The sequence below is a fragment of the Homo sapiens genome, chromosome 7 (assembly GCF_000001405.40).
Source record: "Homo sapiens chromosome 7, GRCh38.p14 Primary Assembly".
NCBI lineage: Eukaryota > Metazoa > Chordata > Mammalia > Primates > Hominidae > Homo > Homo sapiens.
In genome coordinates, this window is record NC_000007.14 from 104,785,193 (window position 1) to 104,806,454 (window position 21,262).

The window sequence follows — 21,262 nt, forward strand, 5'->3', positions numbered from 1 at the left end:
ATTCCCTCCCCCTCTTCTCTCACCTACCCTTTGGTTGTTGAGATTCCTCAGGGCTCCATCCTTGGCCATCCCCTCTTCACACTCCCAAGGACTTCAGCCACTTCTCCAGCTTTGCCAGCCATCTCCATAGGTGCAGTTGACTGTCGTTCACTGCTCTACTTCCGGTCTCCAGAATAGAGCCTAGAGCTTAGTAGGCACTCAATAAACCTCTGCTAAGTAAGTGAATATCTAGAACTCTAGCCCCAACCCAACTCGAAGCTTCAAGAGCCATATTTCCAACTACTTTCTGAACACCTCCAGCTGACTGTCCCATAGGTCCCTCAAATTCAACATGTCCAAAATTTAATTTACTTAAGTTCTCCAATGGGAATAAAAAGGCTTCTCCTCTTGATCTTGGTTAATATTGCCCTAAGTATTCTCCCAACCTGCTTTCACTGGCTGTCCAAACCCTGTGGATCTTAACCTAGAAATGTCTTGAGGCTCTGGCCACTTCCCTCCCTCCCAAGTCCTCATGATTTCTCAACTGCTTTCTCCTCACCTCTGTTTGCTCGTCCAAGAAGTTCATTCTCCACACTAGTGTCAGATTTTTCTTTCTGAAGGGAAAATTTCATTATGCAGCTTTACTGCTCAAACCTTGACCACACTGGTACCATCATAGGCCCCTATCTCCTACAGGGTTAATTCCACAAGCATTGATAGGGCCTACAAATCTCCTCTATTCTGGCCCCCATTGGTTCCACCAGTCCTTCTTCCCTGAACCCCCAAATTTGCCAAATTGCAAACACACTTGCCCTCTGCACAATGCCCTTCTGTACCTCCATGTACACTGTGTCCATGTCAGACCCTCTGTGTGGAAAGACCGTCCACTATTCCCAACCTTCCCTTCCTAGAAGCAACTGGTGCCTCATGAACAAGGAATAAACACTTACCAAGGAGCCACACAGCTATGATGCAAACCATTTCATCTTTAAAAAATTCCCTCATCAGCACAGTGGTCCAACCAGCTTAGCCACTGGTTAAAGACTGAAATGTCTATATAAAATTCAGCGACCCGCTTGGAAAGATGAAAAAGCAGAGAGTGGAGTCTGTGGCAATATTTAGAATTATAATCTTTAATTTTATCAAACTAGCATAATGGTCAGGAGCTACTTGCTCAGCTTCCTCATCTGTCAAAGGAGAATAAGAATACCACCTACCTCATAGCACTGTCAAACTTTGGATGAGGTGATATATAAAGTGATTAACCCTATATCTATTATAATGTAATGTTTAATAAATTGAAGGTATTGTTACCATAGAATCAACTTTCTCAATCTGCTACTTACCCATGCATTCTCACTGCTCACTAACAGATCTCATTTACATCTCTAGTGCCACCGGTATAATTCCCTGTAGGCAGAGGAGTAAGATGGATTGAAATAATAGGTGCCATTCTAAACACACTAAGATGAAAGTTCCTGGTCCTGTCAAATAAGACTACTACTGTGTGTGTGTGGGGTGTGTGTGTGTGTGTGTGTGTGTGTGTGTACGTGCTATATAAAACTTGAAAAAAAGATTTATATACCCAATAATGTTGTTACATATGGCTAGTGCAATCTAATTCTGCTCATTTGTTCTAATTACACAAGTTTAATTACCAAAATCACATGAATGCAATTTCATTACTAAAAAATTAACTTTTAAAATAACATAGTGATATACTTAATAAAAGCCCAGCATTGTTAAGAACCGACAATTCTAGAAAATCCTTCTATTGTGCCCTCTGTATAAGTAGGCCTAGTTGCAATCTGAAATTATTATAGTACATCTTTGCTATTGCAAGCCACTTACTTTTATGTTTTGTTCTGTTTTCTTGTTTTTAGATATTTTCAGTACTGGGCATTGGGGTAAATATCCTTCCATTTCTAAAAGGGACTGTTCTCATAGTTGCATTGAGAACCTCTCAGAAAAATTCAGCATCATTACTGAAGCCCCATGTTATTCAGCTTATGCACTCTGTCCTTCAAGTATAGGAAAGTCTTGCAATTGCTTTCAGTATCATTTAGATGATTTGTGGAAATATAGAAGCTGTGAGGCCGAAAATTAATGTTAGCTCATTCCCAGTACAGTAATGTGGCCTCAAACAATAGAAAGCATGAAAACAATAGGTTTGGGGTGGTTATTGTCTTTCTTCAGGCGCCTGTAACAGAACACCATACACTGAGTGGCTTATAAACAACAGAAACTTATTTCTCACAGTTCTGCAAGCTGGGAAGTCCAAGATTAAGGCACCAACAGATATGGTGTCTGAGGAAGGCCTGCTTCCATAGATGGCATTCTTCTCCTTGCATCCTCACATAGCATAAGGACCAGAGAGATAACGAAAATCTCTTTTTTGTGACAAGGTCTTGCTTTGTAACCCAAGCTGGAGTGCAGTGGCACAATCACAGTTCACTGCAGCCTTGAGCTCTTGGGCTCAAGCAATCTTCCCACCTCAGTCTCCTGAGTAGCTGGGAGTACAGGTGCACGCCACCATACCTGGCTATTTTTGTGTGTGTATGTGATAGGGTCTTCCTGTGTTGCCAGGCTGGTATCAAACTCCTGGGTTCCTCCTGCCTTAGCCTCCCAGAGTGCTGGGATTACAGGTGAGAGCCAGTGCTTGGTGTCTCCTTTATAAGAACACTAATCCCATTCATGGGGGCTCCACCCTTATGACTTAATCACCTCCCAAGGCCCACCCCCTAATACCGTCATGTTGGGGGTTAGGTTTTCAACAAATGAATTAAAGGGGCTTGGAGAGACACAAACATTCAGTGTATAGCAGTTATCTTTGTCGAGTTCTTTCTCGTTGAATTTTTAAACCCTGTGCATCACAACCTATCCCTAGTGGTTCTTTTATAAACTATGTGGTGCCGTAGGAAGAATAGAAACCATTTATTTCTGCTCACGCGTGGGGGAAAACATAATTTCTTTATGAGGAGTACTCTCAGCTGATTTCCTGGTTCTGTTCTTATAATCTCTGACACATGATGTAGGTCAACTAATTTATAGTCTAATAAACAGAACAGAATCACCTGCAGCCTAACTAGTAGGAAGCTCAGCACACGTGTATCCAGGGATCTGAAATGGCTCTTCAAGATGGTGTTTTCCAGAAGGCATCAGAGATGCTCCCTCCTGAGTCCTGCCAGCGACAGCCTCTCAGACTGACTCCTCTGTTAACTTAGCACAGTCTTCACACACCATTTCACACTTTATCTATTCAATCTATTGTAGAGCTTCTTCCAAAAAGACTATAAGAAACTTTTCTGTTACTTTTGCCCTCACACTGTTGGAAAAGTATGTAGTGGCCTATTTCATGCTTAAATTATACATGTGAGAAGATAGACTGAGTCTGGAATTCCAGGTGTAATGCTTTCTCACTGACTAAAGCCAGTTGGTACCATGACTTTCTTGTTTTTTTAATGAGAACAAAGCTGTCTTCTCCCTGACTTCCTCATGTGAAAGCTGTGAGAATTGCTGGAGTCTAAAAAATGCTACATCAACAATTGGAGCATGTAACCGTTTGCGAGCAAGGATATATTTTCCTGAGCGTTAAGGAGAGTTATCTAAATCAAACTGGTCACTTCTTCAGTCTTTCTTTTCTCCTTCACTCGTTCCCTCTCTCACTCCTCAACAAGACTGCATTTAAACAAGAGTTGTGGTCTAAAGTCAGTAGGCAAGGCAAAATATATAGCAGAAGTTACCCTTGAAAATCTCTTTAAGAAGGCACCACCATTTCCCTAAGTCCAACACAGCAAGCCTATCTTTCCACTGATGATGGAAGCAATTGCTGCTTCTTGGTAGAGCATCATTCTTGTATTTGTGGACTATGCTTTTTTAAAAAATGTGTTTCTTTAAACTCCAAAACACACAATACAGCAAGATGCTCATGCTATGGAAAACACAGGGGAACTGAGGATTGAGAGAAGTGTGGAATTCACAGCTCCTCACATGCTTACCAATAGCTCATCTTCCATAAATGGGAAGGAAGACCAATAGCCAGCCTGAACTGTTTAAATGTTCTCTTTCTCTCCCTCTTTCGCACACAGACACATACACTCTAACTATAGCTTGATAAGTACATGGTGTTCTTGGTGAGTATAAGAAGAGAACCTAACTCAGTCTTGGGGACAGAGTTCAGGAAATAAGTGAGTTAGAACGACTCTTAACTCCAAGAGACTCTTGGGGTTCAGAGAAATGTTAAGGGGTCATTTTTAACTGGATTGGATTTCTGGGCTTTTCCATGTTCCAATCAGTCTTCAGCTATCTTCATGGAAAGCCACTATGCAGAAAACAAAATTAAGATTAACAGCATAGACTCCAGCTTTCTGTCCCTTTACCCAGCCTACTAGGAGTAAGAAATTTTGGCTCCTATTTTCGAGTGTCAGTGACTCCCACACCCCCTCCCCCCAATTTTACACTACATTTGTATGTATCTTAATGTGGATTTGCACAGCTTAAAGAGGTAGAAAAGCAGAGAAAAATTACATAATGTAGCCATCCATTCATAAACTATGTTTTTCCCTCCATTGTTAAGTCTCCAGCACTGATCATTAATATTATCAGCCCTGAGTTCAGGAAGCTGTGGTTGACTTAGATGCCCTTCAAGAGAATTCCTCCCACACACATCTTAATGAAGAGTGATCCCTTTAACAAGACTCTTGTCAATATTGAGACTGATTATGAGCCCTAATTTTTTCTAGCGGTTTTTTCCATCTACTATACAATGAGGGCACTAAATTAACATTATGTATTGTAGAATATGCCAGCCAAGCAAATCTGTCTCTGGGTTTCCGAATTTCCTGATTTATCCTGCTAGGTTTCTGTATTCAAAACTGTCTTGCATGATAAGAAAAAAGCCAATGAAGTCACCTTGCTGAATAGTGTAAACCAGATGGACTGTGTTTATTCACCAGGGCTCTGCACTCTAGCCTAGCTACCTGGTTGCTTCCAAATGCAATTCCAAGCGTTGAAATTGATATTAAAGCTTTAAGGGATGGGGGTCCTCATAGCCTGACCTTCTGTTTACCACCCAAGGCAATTTTCCCCAAAAATTCCAAAATCTCCTTATACCTGCTAAAATCAAGAGGTTTCTAGAGTTGCCTTTTTCACTCCCCAGGGAGGATTCATGCACCCTGCTGCTCTCCCATAGACAGAGCCTGCTTGTCTACAATGTGCAGTTCACCTAGGTCCTATCTCCTGTCTGAAAACCTTTGCCTGGCCATACGTATGTCTCCTTTCTGGAATTTGCTTGCACTTTTTTTTGGTACCATCCAGTTTGGCAGTGTCTTGTTTATTCTTTATTTTAGGACCACTTTCCCCAACCAGAGTATAAACCACCTAGGTACAACATTGTATCCTGTTTTCCTTTTGAAACTCATGGTTCCTAAAGCAGACCATTAGTCATCTTAATTGCTATCTGATTTATGTCAGGATGCCAAGCCCATCGTCTAGAATTCACCCTCCTGAAATATGTTAAGCAGGAAAGATGGACATTCTAGTGCAGTGAAATTCATATCCAACCAGTTGTCAGAAGACCAGAATCCTCGTCATTTTTTACCTTGGGCAAGTCACATAACATTTTCAAGCCCCATTTTCCTTGCATACAAATGAATACCTTATATACCTGCTTCCCAGGTTCAAGTAAGGACATCAAATAAGACAGGACAAGCAAAAGTCATCTGTGTCTATGAAATACTATTCAAATGTACGGTTGTATTATTAAGTCATTTGGTCTTTCTCCACATGGTTGACCTAAATGAAAAGCACAGATAGAGCATCTTGAACTTTCTGGGAGATCTTCCACAAACTTTAGTCTTTAACATTGTTTTTCTATGGTTAATATTCTAGTATTATTTCTATAACCTGCCCTCTTTTCCTTTGAGCTTCTTGTTGGTATAATTGGAACTGTTTTTCTGAGCTGATTCCTCTCCAGTAACCAAGTTATCACCATTGTGTGTTCTGGACTGTGGGGAGGAGGGGTTGTCACTGGCTCAGACTTCCTTGGCTTCAGGAGTACTTTCTGATTGCTCATAAAACAAACACAAAAGGACAAAGGGAAATTCAAAAGGCTGAGAACAAAGCCTGTGGGCAACATTTCTATTGACAGGGTTAATTCTGGCATAATTTAAAAGAGTTTAATTAATCATGGAGTTAAGCATAGAGAAAGGATTCCTGGCAGCCTTACATTCTTGGGCTGAGATTATTGGTCCCCTACTTAGATGCCCATTCTCCTTTTGCATCACAGACTTCTTGATATTTTTAGCCTCTAACCACATCACATGATCACTGTAGTTCAGGGGTCTTCCCACCCATCTGTTTTTCTGGATCTTTGGAAGCAATGGATCTAGAAAAATAGTGCTTTTCTGTATCTAGAAAAACAATGTTAACGACTAAAATTTGTGGAAGATCTCCCAGAACCAGCTGGAACTGCCGGTTGCCTGGCCATACTTGGGAATCTCAACTTCTTTGAGCTATTTCCATTTCCACAGATCAAAGAACAGGAGAGATTCGGATTTTCAGGGAAACTAAGGGATACATTTCCTGATTGAAAATATTGTTCCCCCAGGGGTGCAGGGTCTTTGTATTCTTAGATTCCAAGATGACTATGTCTTGGTTCACCTGGCCTGTCAAACTAGGACAACTGCCGCTGACAGTCAGCATTTAAGAGGTCTTTACTTGTGGCTGCAGGATGATTTCAGGCTTTTTGTTCTTGGGATAGCATGCTCTCAGGGATCTGAGAGTTTGCCTGAAGGAGCTTCCCTACTCCCAGTCTCTCCATAAGGTTATGGAGAGATATTGGATCTTTAAGAAGTTCAAAACAGCAAGGTTTCAATACTGGTGATGAAAGAAAAGCATCACATTCTCATTCGAAATCAAAGGTACAGAGATTTCCTAGCAGTGTCATCCCTGCTTTCTTTCCCACTTTCTCTCCTTTCCCTCACCCCACAAAGGCAAAGGCTTGCTCCCTACAAGCATCCAATGGATAGAGACACTCAGGAAGCCGTCTTGGGAGGGAAAATGAATAGAAGTGTGTGCCTGTAGCCTCCTCGTTAGCTAGAATGTTGACAGCCAATAAAAATAAAAACAAAAATTCCAAGCAAACTCCTTTCTGGCCAGCTTCTGGCCTGGAAGCCATAGCAAGTGTCTCACCCAATTTAATCCAAAAACTGCTAGAATTCTCCGTGAGTCCAGACTCTATTACAGATGAATTAATTATCTCCGTCATGGCTACTTATTTTAGTTCACCTTGACATGGTACCATCCATGACTAAATAGCTTTTTCACTATTGGCTCTTACAGTTCCTCGAGACTGCTGCCTCTGGGTAAGAGAGTACGAGGCTGTATATAATGTTTCCTGGAGAGCTCCCACAAGCACTTTGTTCCTGTACCTTGTTTTTGCTACTATAACTTTACCCCCTTCACTTACCAGACAGGGAGGATATATTCTGGTTTTCTCATATTCGGTAACTTATAGAGCAGAAAAATGAGATGATCCACAAATATGCTGAGTTTGGATAGCTGGTAAACTCAATTCTGCATCTACTTATCTTTCTTTCAGTACATAAAAAAACTGCTTTGGGAAGTATCTGACTGTGCAAAGAAGGATGTGTGACCAAAAGATGGAAATCTGATGTTTCCTGTGAGCTGACCATCAGTCTGCATCGGATCCTGCTATTTGCTAGCATTTTTTTTGTTTTTTGAGATGGAGTCTAGCTCTTGTCGCCCAGGCTGGAGTGCAATGGCATGATCTTGGCTCACTGCAACCTCTACCTCCCAGTTTCAAGTGATTCTCCTGCCTGAGCCTCTTGAGTAGCTGGGATTACAGGCACCTGCCACCACACCCAGCTAATTTTTGTATTTTTGGTAGAGACGGGGTTCCACCTTGTTGGCTAGGCTGTTCTCAAACTCCTGACCTCAGGTGATCTGCCCACCTCGGCCTCCCAAAGTGATGGGATTACAGGCGTGAGCCACCGCGCCTGGCCCTGCTAGCATTTCTAAGATGCAGTCAGAACATCCTTGCGCAACTGGGTGGTTAATAAAGCATGTACATTTACATCACCTCCTGGACAAAAGAGGGGAAAAACAGAGGAGAGGTGGGAAATATTTGTAACAGAAAACCAAGTGTTTAAATCAACATGAAAGCAGGCAAACAGAAAGGCTAGCTTTGCGTTACAGGAAATAAGATGTAGAAAGCTGGTTTTTCATTGTGAAGAAATTTTAAAAGCAGTCCAGTGATATTTCTGACTCTGGGTTTACTAAGATGTCAGTGGTAAAAAAGCAATATTGTCAAGAATAATAATATGTCAGGGTAAAAATCAATAGCAGCCACAAAAAGGTAACACATTTTTCTAAAGAATGGTTTGAACTAACACTCACAGTCATTAGAGTGACCGAGCAGCAACCAGCTGGACCTGCACTGACAGCTGACCAGACAAGAGCTGGGTTTGTTTTGGTTTGGTTTTTTAGCAACTTAACTCTAGTAGCCTTGTCTCTAACTATGGAAGATTATAGAGCTGCCAACTTGATTATGATGAAAATCTGATGTCAAAATTGAATGTGGTTTTCCTTCCCAGTCTCATTTTTGAAACTCGAACTCTTGTGGTATCTCCCATAGGAGAAGGTGGTGCCCAAAGAAACTGTGGTAGTGGAAAGCGAACTGGTTTAGGGATTTTTAGACCCATTAATATAACGTTTAAACACAAGCAACATTAGTCTAAGGTGTTAGAAGTCAAGATGGAATCACTCTTAGAGAGGCTCGGTGTGGATGGGAAGGGAGCATAAAGGAACTGGAGCTGTTTCTTGAGCTGGGTGCTGGCAAGACAGATGTTCCCACTTTGTGAATTCACTGAACATACACGTATGATCGGCACACTTTTTCTTATATACTATAGAAGTATAATACTACACATTACACTTCAATAAAACACAGTAAAAAGCCTCTGCATTCTCTTAACAAATCTGCTCTAAATAGCCAACAAATTTTGAGGAGGTCACTTGAACCCTAGTTTCTTTCACAAAATGAGATAGTGGACCAGAGGACCCCAGACCTGAAACTTCTTGGTGCTGTCATCATTGGCACATGATGAATGCATAGCGTTGGTATTCCTGCTATTTGTGACTCAAAGAACAATCAAAACATGGGCAAAGTTGCCACAGGCCTTCCCAGAAAAGGCATGAACTGAAAGCTATATAAATTTGCCACATGGGGAATGGTGTTGAATAACTGGAACCACAGGGCTGATGTTGATAGCAAAGAAGTAGAATTACGGTGGCTGTCAGTGTGAGCCCTACTTTAAAAGCAGATGTTCATCACACAGCTAGTGATGTGTGCGATCACATTAAATTCAAGAGCCAATGTTTCTTTAATAGTTTCTTCTCAAAAATAGCTGCTGGAAATTATGGTTCCATTAAAATAGGCTACAAGAATTTCCATCTAATCAAGCAGTTCAGTGTTTCAAGCAGTTCCTTTCTTTTCTTGTTTAATATAAAGTGAATTTAAAGGTGACCTGCACCGTGACTGATTGGCAGTTAGAAAGAATCAGCCTCTGTGTCGTCACTTAGAAGTTGCCAATCACGTCACACAATGGATGGGAAAAGACCAAGGTCTGGGTTGGAGGGAATTTGCTGTTCTAATAGGAGAAATTACTGCAACCTCCTTTGGATAAGAAAATGAGCTATACTTATCTCCCTATGTGCTTTTCCTACAACTTGAGCCTCTTGGAAGACAAAATATGTGTAGCAGGAAGAAGGAAAAATAATAATAATCCAACTAGGTGGTTAGCACCTGGATAACAGATCCACAGAGAAGTTCTTAAAACCTTTTTATTTTCTTCTAAAGCGTCTAAAGTCCCCTAGAAACAAGTCACCTGATTCTACTAAGCCACCTGCCTCATCCCACTGAAAACCTTTCCGGAAAGATGGGCCAGACATGCTCTCTGATGGCCATTCGTCTTCTGAATCCCAAGAATAATCCTTTGGCACAAACATAGAAGTGTATTATTTGGTCTTCCAGCAAACATGAAGAGAAACAATGAAATGAAGGAAATGCACATCACGAGCTGCCACACAAGATCCTAATTACCATAATTTGACCCATCCTCCTTCCCATTGCCGGAAAGTCAGCCTTCTGGATGAGAGGAAGCCAAACCAGCAAGATAACAGGCTTCTGTTCTCTCTCCCCGTCCCTCGCCTCTTTCTTTCTTCCCCTCTTCCTTAAATGATGTTCATTAAGACAGCGATTCTTCTAACAGTTTGTATGCCTCAATTGTATTAGGGAAAGCTTTGCATGACTTGAAAAAATGAGCCAGAGAGAAGGAAGAGGGGCTGAAAGAAGCAGACACACGTTGTCTTTTTATTCCCCAAAGCAACTGTCAGTCTCAGAATATTTTTGTAGAACCTGCCAGAAATCTCTCTGGAATCATCCCTGTTGGATACAAGGACAGTAAATCTAAAAAGTTCAGGTCTTCTGTGGTATAAATCAGAAACTCTTAATAATTCAGAAAAGGCCAATTTAAACTCCACATGTCCAGTCACATCAATAACACCACTCCCTCTAGCTCCAAACAGCCCCTAGAATATTTCCTTTTCCTAGATTACTCATAGCTTTGCCTTGTCCCTGACTTCCCCCAAACTACTTGAGTAAGTTACTTTGGCATAGCTTCTTACATTTAGGCAGCAAATGAGCCAGGATGGGAGACATACAAAGTGTGTTAACTTCGTTCCTATTAGAATTCACCTAAAATATACCCATTGAAATATGGATCTAAAAGCCCACCCCTGCCCACCCCAGTGCCGGGGCTTCTGCCTTTTGCTGTAACAAGTGCTGTAGAAATTGTCTCCACTGTCACTCTTCAGCTCACGTATGGGATGTGATGGGATTTTTCAATAGCAGCTTTAAATCAGCTTGCTGAGGCCTCAATAGTGCAGCCCCAAGTTAGGGCTCGAGGAAGCAGGTCCTGAAGTCACAACGCTCCTGGTGACAGCATGTGCACTGACACAGTGGAGGACTGCTTCACTGACCTTTTGTATTTTAGAGTGTGTGACCGGGGGGCTGGTTTGTTTTCAACCATTGTGTAGGGAAGACACAATTTAGCAAGACAAAGGACATGTTTTTTAAGAAGCAGAGATATCGAGAACTGGCATCCTTTTTGGCATTAGTGTGGAGGTGGCCAATCAAGACAGGCTAGGAGTGATCCAAGTCATTGGAGGAACCTAACAGAGAGTAAATGATTATGAGGCCGTATTTGAAGGCCGTGAAGTCAGTAAGAAAAGAAATGCATGTGATAGTGGGAGTTTGAAGTAAATCTATATTTTATTTCCAAGTGACCTATGAGTAGAGGAAAAGGCAGCCAGTAAGGTACGGAAAATGAGGCCAAATTGGAGTCAAGGGCTACCAATCAGGCAGGAAGGACATGACAGGAAATCTAGTTAATTCAGCTTATTAGTTTGGATGGTTGAGACTGCTAGGTCTTAGAAAACCCGGCTCAAAGTGCCTTAAACAAAAAGGACATTTTTGGCCTAAGATAACCAGAAGTCCAAAGGTAGGCAGTCTTTAACTGTGGCTGATCCAGTGGCCAATCATTTCATCAAGGACCTAGGTTGTATCTGTCTCTCTGCTCTACCATGCATGGTGTCTGCTCCATCCTGAGACTGGGTCTCCTGTTGGTCAGAAAGTGGATGCCTATGCTTTCTCGCACACATCCAGGGAAAGCAGGGGAGTTACTCCCAGAACATATCCTAAAAAAATGAAAAGAAAGTTTCCCAAAAGCTTCTGCAAACCTTGCATGGCATCTCATTAGCCTGAATTGTATCTCGTCTTCTTTCCTGAAACAATCACAGTTAGTTTGTATTATTTTGTTTGGCTTAAGTGCATCAAAGTCCACTCCTGGTGTCAGAAAATGGGATTAGCTTTGCCTAAATTAATGGTCAGCATGGAGGAGAGATAGAAAACTAACCAAAGTCAGCAATCTCCTAGGAAAAAGAAAGAGGAGATGCACACTGCATGGGCCACTGTGATCATCACTAATGCTGTTCACCCAGCATTTCTGAATTCCCACCTTCCTGGCACATGATAGGATTGTACCTCCTGGCTCTTAGTGGCTGGGTGGGGCTGTGAGACTTGTTGCAGTCAATGAGTAGTGAGCAGAAGTGGCACATGTCACCATCAGGCTAGAAACTTTAATGGCCAAATGAGGCCTCCTTAGCTATCTTTAGTTCTGCATTAGAGACTAATTAATGCAGAGCAGCTCAGGTGGTAGCTGCTCCTTCTGTATACATCCCCAAATGAGGAGCATGGAGCAGAGCCCCCAGTCAGCCCATGATGGAGATGAGCAAGAAATAAACCTTCATGGTTAAAATCTACTTTTTTTTTAATTCCAATATACCTTAGTCTGTCCTTGATAAAACTATAGACAACATAGGCTAGGTGTGGTGGCTCACACCTGTAATCCCAGCACTTTGGGAGGCTGAGGCAGGTGGATCACTTGAGCTCAAGAGTTAGAGACCAGCCTGGGTACCAATGGTGAAACCCCATCTCTACAAAAAAAAAAAAAAATTAGCTGGGCATAGTGGCATGTGCCTGTAGTCTCAGCTACTTGGGGTGCTAAGGCAAAAGGATTGCTTGAGCCCAGGAGGTAGAGGTTGCAGTAGGCTGAGATGGTGCCACTGCACTCCAGCCTGGGTGACAGAGTGAGACCCTGTCTCAAAAACAAACAAAAACAAACCAAACAACAACAACAACAACAAACTATCAATAACGTCACGGCAGCAGCTGATGTCAGCATTTGGCATCTAGTCCTAGGTGGGGTGGCAGTGGGGGGGGCGGCACTATGTGAGGTGGACACCAGTGTCACATGGCTTATGACCCCAGTTAGGCATGGCAGGCCAAGGTGCGCAAGTATGTCCTAGAACTAGAAACAAGCAGTTTTCCTAAGAGTTCCCACCAAACAGAGCCACCACTTACATATCTTCTCCTCAAGAGAAACAAAAGAAAAAGATTATTCGTAATTTGTCTCTTAAATAATCTAGACACATGCCTGGCATATAAGAAATAAAAAAGAATCTACATTCTGTTAAGTATTTTAAGTTAAATAAATTACTCAAGAAATGTGGAGAAAAAAGTTACCTGGATCAAAAAAATCTGAATTCATGTAAATGATTATTTAGGATTAGAAATTCATCTGTGGAAAAAATAACCTAAAAAGTAGAAAACAAAAATTTTAAGCATCACATTTATTAAAATATATTTTAGTTTTTGAAATAGTTTTGAAATGGGAAAGTTATCACTAATTGAAATGCGTATAGAACTACACCTATGCAATGTTTATTGCTCTGTTGTATAGTCTACAAAAAAATTATAAGTTGGTATCATTTCACCTTATAATTAGTTGCCTTTTTTCTAAATGACAATATTTTTTAAAGTGTAAAAATACAATGTAATGTAAGTCATCCTAATAACAAGAAAGATAGGTGCTAGAAAGTCTCACGATTTTTTTTTTGAAAGCCTAGTTCTCAAAAGAAATTAAAGTAGAAAAGCTTCACATTTTTTTAGTAAATAATAGCTATAATACCTCTTCCATATATTCATCTACATCTTCTTTAAAGAACATTTTTAAAACTACCTCATGTTTTTGCTTCTGTTTTTTTGGATTGGCTCTGACCTGTGTATATCGTAAGGTTTTACTAACTACCACAACAGAAATGAATTATGTGGAATTCTTTGGTGTAAACTGAGGAGGACTTGGAGAGTGTTCCTTCTCTGGCGGGAATGTTTAAGATTCAGTAGGTTTTGCTCCTAGAGATAATTTTTATTACCGCATTCAAAAACATCCTGTCCGGTTGTTGAGCATTTCCAGAGCAGAATACCTGTGTAATTTTGATTAGCTCATAATCTTCAAAATGTGTTACAACTGCCTAGTGACAAGATGTTCAATTTTCAGATTTTATTTTTGCCCTGTTCTCAAATGCAGTCATCATTCCCTACTTGAGAGCTATTTCTACTATCCTCCTTGCAGAGATGAAAATATGAAGGCACAGGAATTGTTGTTAGGTTGTGTGCCAGCCTAGGAGCCAGAAGATTTGGGCTCTGGGTGCTGGACCTCACAGGCTGATGCTCGGGCCAACAAAGTCAGGAGGAGAGTAGGGTCTCAGACACCTGCTGATGGGAAAGGTGTGCAGCACATTCACATACAGGCAGCCACACCTGCCTCACCCCTGGAAGAGATTTTCTTTGTTTTGACAAATGACCCTTCTGGGTCTGTCTGGTCAACAAGGAAAGGTGAAGCACCAGCATTGCCCACACCTTGCCTAAGTCCTCTCCTAACAATCAGGCCTGGGAGAGATGTGTTCCAAAGCTCCCAAATCCTGGCCTCCATCTATATCACGACATAGTAGAGGAAGCATGCACTCTTCGATGCTCCCTCTTGGGTATTGATGATCCTGGCTTCTGCCCTCTCTGCCTGCAACTTAGGAGATGGAAGCAGGGACCCCTGCAGAAACAACTCCTGCTGGGCGCAGGAGTCATGGGCATCTCTCCTAATGATTCCATCATGCTGTTGCTTCCCACACACTGTGCCCTGAAGAACCTCATTTTCCTTTTGCTTTTACCTTGATTAATGCCCTTCATGACTTGCCTTCCCATGACTTCACCCGCAGCCACTGCCCAAGCACGCGTTCAGCTGTTGGGATCTCTAGGAGTTGTTTTCCATCTTCCTACTCCACAATTATGCCAACAGCCTTCTTCCTGACCCAAGCCTATTGGGAGCAGGAGTCTTCTATTTTGTTCTTCCAGGTGATCTTTCTTTTTGCAAGTGCCAGATCTCAGGTCTAGGCTTTGGTCCTTTGGTGCTGAAATGTGAGCTGAAATTTAAAATGTTACAAAGGTAGGTCATGGTAGGATTTGCTGTCCCTAAACCAAAGATGTCCTTAAACCTAAGGCTAATGTTGCCTTCCCTTTAAAAAGCTACCGCATCAATAATTCAGTTTACATCTCAGCTTGCCTAATATATTTCTCTCTTATTTGAACGGCAAGATGAACTTCAGAGAATTGTTTTTTAAGTGAGGTTTTGTGAGCTGAGCCTTGCAAGAAGCTCTCCAAGGTCTGTGGGATCTGTATATGACTAGAGCTCAGGCTTCACTCTGGAGAGTAAGTGCGATCTCCGTTTTCTCCTCCTACCTCTCCAAACACTCCTAACCTACATTTCTTCCAGCTCTCCTTCCTCTAACTGCTCTTGCCCACTTTCCTCTTCCTACGTGCCTTCCTTAAACTTATCCATTCCCATTGTCTCAAACACCCACAACCAGTAACTCTGGCCACAATCCCTCTTGATCTCCAAACCCTCTTTCTCCCAACTGTCAAATGCAGGATGTCTTGGAATACTTAGATACCTCAAAGTCAACCTGTCTAGACTGAATTAACTGTCCCTTTAGATCCCCACCCAAACGTTTGCCACCTCCTACCATCATCTACCCACCCACCCAACCACCTCTTTGAGTATTTCTTAGTGACCCAGCTCCTTTCCTTGCTAGCCAGGCAGATAGTGTTGAAAGGAGGAGCTGGAAAAGTTGGCGCAGGAGTTGAGATAGAGTTCCTACACACACCCTCAACTCCAGAGCCAAAAACTAAAGAAGAAACAGGAGGCAAAGTGCAATAAAAGATCCAGATAAGCTCCTGAGGACCCCAAAATAGACAGGACCTTGGCCCGGCTTCCCTTTATGAGGCTACCAGCCTCACAGAGAATTCCACATTCATCTGGCACTTGAGCTACAGATTAGAAAAAATGAGGGAGGTGATCAGGCATATGGGACTAAGAATATGTTTCCAGTTTCCCAAGGGCTGACCAATGTATGCAGGGATTCCAGAAGTTCCTGCTTATCCCAAGGGGGAACAGAGAGGTTCTAAGAACAGCCATAGTCTAGAAGAGACTTAAGATCTGGACACAGAAACTGAAGAATGCAAAGACTTTGAACTGGAAGGATATGGCTGAAATGGTGCACAGAAGCAACAGGTGACCCCAAGGACCAAGCATGACCGAGCATAACAGGGACACTAGCACAAAGCCCCCAGGCCCAGGGACCAGCCCAGCTCAGCCAGGGCTCTCACAATAGGACCAGCCAAGACCTGGAAAGGCCCTTCCCATCACGGTGATGACAGATAAGCTTTGCTCTGCACCCATACAAGGGGGTCAGGGGGATTCGTGGGCAGGGTAAAAAGAAAAGACCCTGAAAGCCTGAATGTAACCAGGAAAGTGGTGTTAACCTGAAAGGAACTATTTTAACTTGGAAGAGACTGATATTTCTCTAGTTAGCACCAAAGTTTTTTGTTGTTTTTTTGTTTTTGTATGTTTGTTTGTTTTGTTTTGTTTTTGTTTTTGTTTTTGAGATGGAGTCTCGGTCTATTGCCCAGACTGGAGTGCAGTGGCGCGATCTCTGCTCACTGCAACCTCTGCCTCTTGGGTTCAAGGAATTCTTCTGTCTCAGCCTCCCAAGTAGTTGGGACTACAGGCACGTGCCACCACACCCAGCTAATTTTTTGTATTTTTAGTAGAGACGGGGTTTCACCGTGTTAGCTGGAATAGTCTCAATCTCCTGACCTCATGATCCGCCCACTTCAGCCTCCCAAAGTGCTGGGATTACAGATGTCAGCCACCATGCCCGGCCAAGTTTTTTGTTTTTTCACTTTATGTTTCTTTCTCTCTTACCATTGGGTTAAGAGCTATCAAAGACCATTAACTAAGTAGTAAACAAGAAAAATGCTATTTTTTTCACAATTTGTGCTGTAGTGAGACGTTTTTGACACTATTGCACAAAAGCATCACTGTTAACCTTTCTTCCCTACCTCTTTCTCTACCCCTGCTATGTTGCTGTCTCCCCAAAATTTTTGGTGTTTCCCCAAAATTCATATGTTGGAACTTAATCCCCAATGTGATAGAATATAGGAGGTGATTAAACCATGAGTGCTCTGTCCTCATGAATGGAATTAGTGCCCTTATAAAAGATGTTGGGCCAGGCACACTGGCTCACACCTGTATTCCCAGCACTTTGGGAGGGTGAGGTGGGCAAATCACTTGAGCTCAGATGTTTGAGACCAGACTGGGCAACATGGTGAAACCCTGCCTCTACAAAAAGTACAAAATCAGCTGAGCATGGTGACACCCACCTGTAATCCCAGATACTGGTGGGGGCTGAGGTGGGAGGATTGCTTGAACCTGGAAGTTCAAGGCTACAATGAGCTATGATAGTGCCAGTGTTCCAGCCTGGGCAAGAGAGCCAACCCTATCTCAAAAAAAAAAAAAAAAAAAAAAAAGAGAGAGAGAGCAAGGGAAGGCAGCTTCCCTCCCCTTCCACCATGTGAGGACAGAGAGAAGGTACTAGCTATAGGAACAGGCACTGAATCTGCTAGCACTTTGATCTTGGACTTCCCAGGCTCTAAAATTGTAAGAAATAAATTTCTGTTGTTTATCAGTTACCCAGGCTAAGATATTCTGGTATAGAACCCAAGTAGAATAAGACAACACCCATCTAACAGTAGACCAGCCTGTAGACTGTATCTGTGAGCTGTCTCACATCTAAGTTCCATCCTTTCCAACCCCAATGCCAATGCCAAGATTCACACTGGTCATCTCTTACCTGGAGGTTATAAGCCTGAGTGGTGTCCCCTCCTCTCGGTCTTCTCTTTTTAATGTGTCCTCATCCACATTGCTTGATCTTTCTAAAATATGATGCTCTCCAGCTTCAAAAGCTGCGCTGACTCCCTGTGAATAAAGGGATATTGAAACTCCAAAGCTTGTCCCAGAAGCCTCTTCCTAATCTACTCCTGCTCTAACCTCAATCTTACATATCCTCTGCCCTCTCTCACACATTCCAAGTTCAAGCCATAGCAGTTATTTACCATTCCTATAATGGACCAAGTGCTTTCACTTCACTAATCTTTGCACTTGCTATTTACCTTCAAGATCCAGATCCAACATACCACTTCTTTGACATCCTCTCTAATTCCTTTCACTCCCCAAGTCAAATTTGTCAAGAACCCTTTTGTTCCCTTTACACTATATACATGCCTATGGCAACCAGAAAGCCACAAGTACCAGTTTCAAATATTCTATTCTATTCACGCATTAGAAAGATAAAAGTCTGTGGACCATGCTCCTCAATTTATAGTTCCAAGGCCATAACCATATGTTCCAAAATCGTTATTAGCCTTTACGACATTTTATCATGATCTTCAGTTTGCATAACTAACCCCATACTTGAATTAAACTCCTAAAGGGCAAGAACCACATGTGTGTTCCTCTTTGTAGCCACATCTTTCTACCATGCTCACTCCTTCCATCCTACTCAGCTTAGCAGAGGAACAACTGGCCAGTTAGCAAGTTATAAACATCACTCTCTCCTGGGATGAAACCACTCCCACACCAGGGCAAATGTTTGGCAAATATAAGGAAGACTTGGTTTCAGTTCCCTTACCCTCCTGAGTAGGTACATTTGTGCAGTGCACAAACTGCCCAACTATATGTAATAGCCCTTGGACCTAACATGTAATAAGGGCAAAATATATATTTGCTGATGAATGAACTTGTCTAGGGAATATTCCCTACCTTTACCCCTCTTAAATTACACGAACCAGATGTGCCTATTATTTACATAGTTTTGGTATTGCACTATATCCAATAATCAAATATTCTTCAGCATGCCTTGATAAATTAATGTCAGGCTTCTGTCATCATGTTAGGAATAATTCACTTACGACACAGCTGGATTCAGGACTGGTTCAACAAATAGCATCAAGACTCAACATATCTTTTGGTTCTCCTTCTGCTATGTTACTTTCAGTCTTGGACTTCACATCTTAGCAGACAGAGGCAGCAGCTCCAGTTCCTAGATCCTCTCTAGTTTTAAGTCAACCTGAAAAATAGAGCATATCTTTCCAGGATTCCCAAGAAAGTTTCCTTGCTCTTCATTGGCTCTTGTTGGGTCACATGTGCATCTGTAAACTCACCACTGTGAACCCAGACATGTGATATGCTGATTCGCCAGCTTAAGTCACTTTTCGACATCTGGGGCTGAGACTGCCAGAAACATTGTTGAAATGGTGGAGGGGGCTATTCGTCAAAGGAAAATCTAGGTATAATTACCAGAAGGAGGAATGGATAGCAACCAGAAAAAACAATGGATGTCTGCCATCACTTTCTTCCACGTGATGGGCAAACTCTAGATGACCCCCAGTGATCTCCACCTCCTGGTGTTCTGCCCTTTTGTAATGCTCTTCACCCTTGAGGGTGGGCAAGACTTTGTAACATGCTTTTAACCAATAGAATATGTCAAAAGGGATGAGATGTCACTTCCACGATTAAGTTACATAAGATTGTGATTTCCTTCTTCCTACCAAACTCTCTCTATTGCCTTCTCAGCTTGCATGCTTTGATGAAGCAAGCTGCCATGTTGGGAGAGGCCCACATGGCAAGAAACTGAGGATGGCTGCCAGCTAAAAACTGAGGTCCTCAATGCAGTAGCTCTCAAAGTACTGAATTTAGCTAACTACTACATGAAAATGGATCATTTCCTAGTCAGGCTTTCAGATGAGAAATCAGCCCTGACCAATATCTTGATTGCATTCTTGTGAGAGATATTGAGACAATGGATCCAGCCATGTCCAACTCCTGACCTAGAAACTGAGATAACAAATGTGGGCTGTTCTAAGCCACGAGGTTTGTGGTAATACTGTTATACAATAATAGATGACTAGCGCACTTCCTTTTCTGCTCCCACACCCCTTTTAGAATCTCTCCCAGATCTACTTCACTCCCACCAGCCAGCACCCAGTGCCAATCTGGAGCAGCCAGAGGGCTCCCCTCAGGGGCCCCCATAGGCTCAGATGCCCTGGGAAAGGCCTAGTGCTTCCTTCTCCTCTTGTATCCCCTCACTTCTCCGTGTGCTGACTTCCATTTACCTTTCAGAGAAACCATCTGACTGGGCTAAGTATCACAGATTCCTCAGGACTTAACCCAAAAGAAAGGACATTGTTTCATTGACGATATCTGGGGCCCTTCTTAGCATCCCTTAAGTTCAACTACTTAGGGGAGTACTAGTTAACATAATATGAAGGTGCAGAACTAAAGGGTATACAAGCATTTTGGACCCCAAAATAATTGCTTCCTGAAAGAGATGCGACTCAAATGAATGTGTAGTCCTTGTTAATGGCCAATGACAACTATCTGTAGCAATGTAGTGATGTTGTCACCTGTTACAATTTGAGGTCCTCTCCTATCTGGAAGTTGCCGTGAATGGCCAGAGTTGACTACATGGTCCCACATCAGCCTTCTTTCTGTCTTCAGTTCCTTCCTATTCCCCTGCTTCGTTCACCCCTTCCAGGGTGGCACAGCTGCAGCCCCATAGAGCCCAGACTGCAGTTGCACTAAAGGAGGCTTCACAGAGCTGTACAAAAGCTTCCAGCCACCAAAGCACAAAGCCTTTCCTTCAGTCAGCCTCCACAGTCTCCCAGCTCTTAGGAGAGCCATAATCCTACATGACAGTCAGATTTATGCTTTCTTATGGGGCTTTTTAGGCTTATCCCAAACCCCTCTCTTCTCATACCATCTACAGTTTTTAGTCTGGATCCCTCTAGAACAGCCCTCAGGGAATAGGATTTACTAGGTTAACCCTAGCCACATCGCTTTGTCTGAACCCTGGGCTCTCTTCCTCTGTGGATTCTGTGATTCCACAGCTCAGTATAGTATTTCAAACACATTGCACTGTAAACCATGATACGTTTCATGATTAAGCACTAAAAAGAAGACAGGTGGTGCATTTATGGTAATTAAAGCCTGCTGCAGGCCGTGTTTTAGTGCGTACGACTGACAATGCAGGAACTACGACAGTCTTTGGTAAAGAAACAGTTCTGTCTGTCACATGGCTGTGGCTCATACAAGTTTTCAGACAGAGAACAAGATTGGAGGGAAGCTCACTCATCTTTATCTAACTGACATTTAGGTCATTTGGGAAAGTATATGCCACAAAGCATAATGCTTTCATTCATACTTAGGTTTCAATTAGTTCAGGACTAAGTTATTCATAGATTATTTAGAGATGTATTATGTCTTTTGAATTATTAATTCAAGATAAAACTCAATCTGTTAGGGGAAATTTTTCTACCAGAGTTTATTCTAGAAACCCTTAAACTGTTCTTGATCTCTGCAGATTTCTAAACCAATAAAGGGATTGCATTGAACCCCAAAGTTGTCTTCAT

General features: G+C 42.3%; 1 protein-coding gene and 1 long non-coding RNA gene across 4 annotated transcripts in view; one reads left to right on the forward strand and one right to left on the reverse strand.

Moving 5' to 3' along the window:
- Nucleotides 1–21,262, forward strand: part of LHFPL3 (LHFPL tetraspan subfamily member 3) — a 579,959-nt gene that overhangs the window by 456,590 nt on the left and 102,107 nt on the right. The window lies entirely within an intron of this gene.
- Nucleotides 11,314–18,900, reverse strand: LHFPL3-AS1 (LHFPL3 antisense RNA 1). 2 transcript variants are annotated; one of them, NR_034141.1, is made up of 4 exons: nt 18,764–18,900; nt 17,647–17,771; nt 14,626–14,877; nt 11,314–11,757 (listed from the first exon to the last, which is right to left on the reverse strand). It is a non-coding gene; the product is annotated as an LHFPL3 antisense RNA 1 (long non-coding RNA). The 2 variants fall into 2 exon arrangements; NR_034142.1 differs by lacking the exon at nt 11,314–11,757 and having other exon boundaries at nt 13,806–14,877.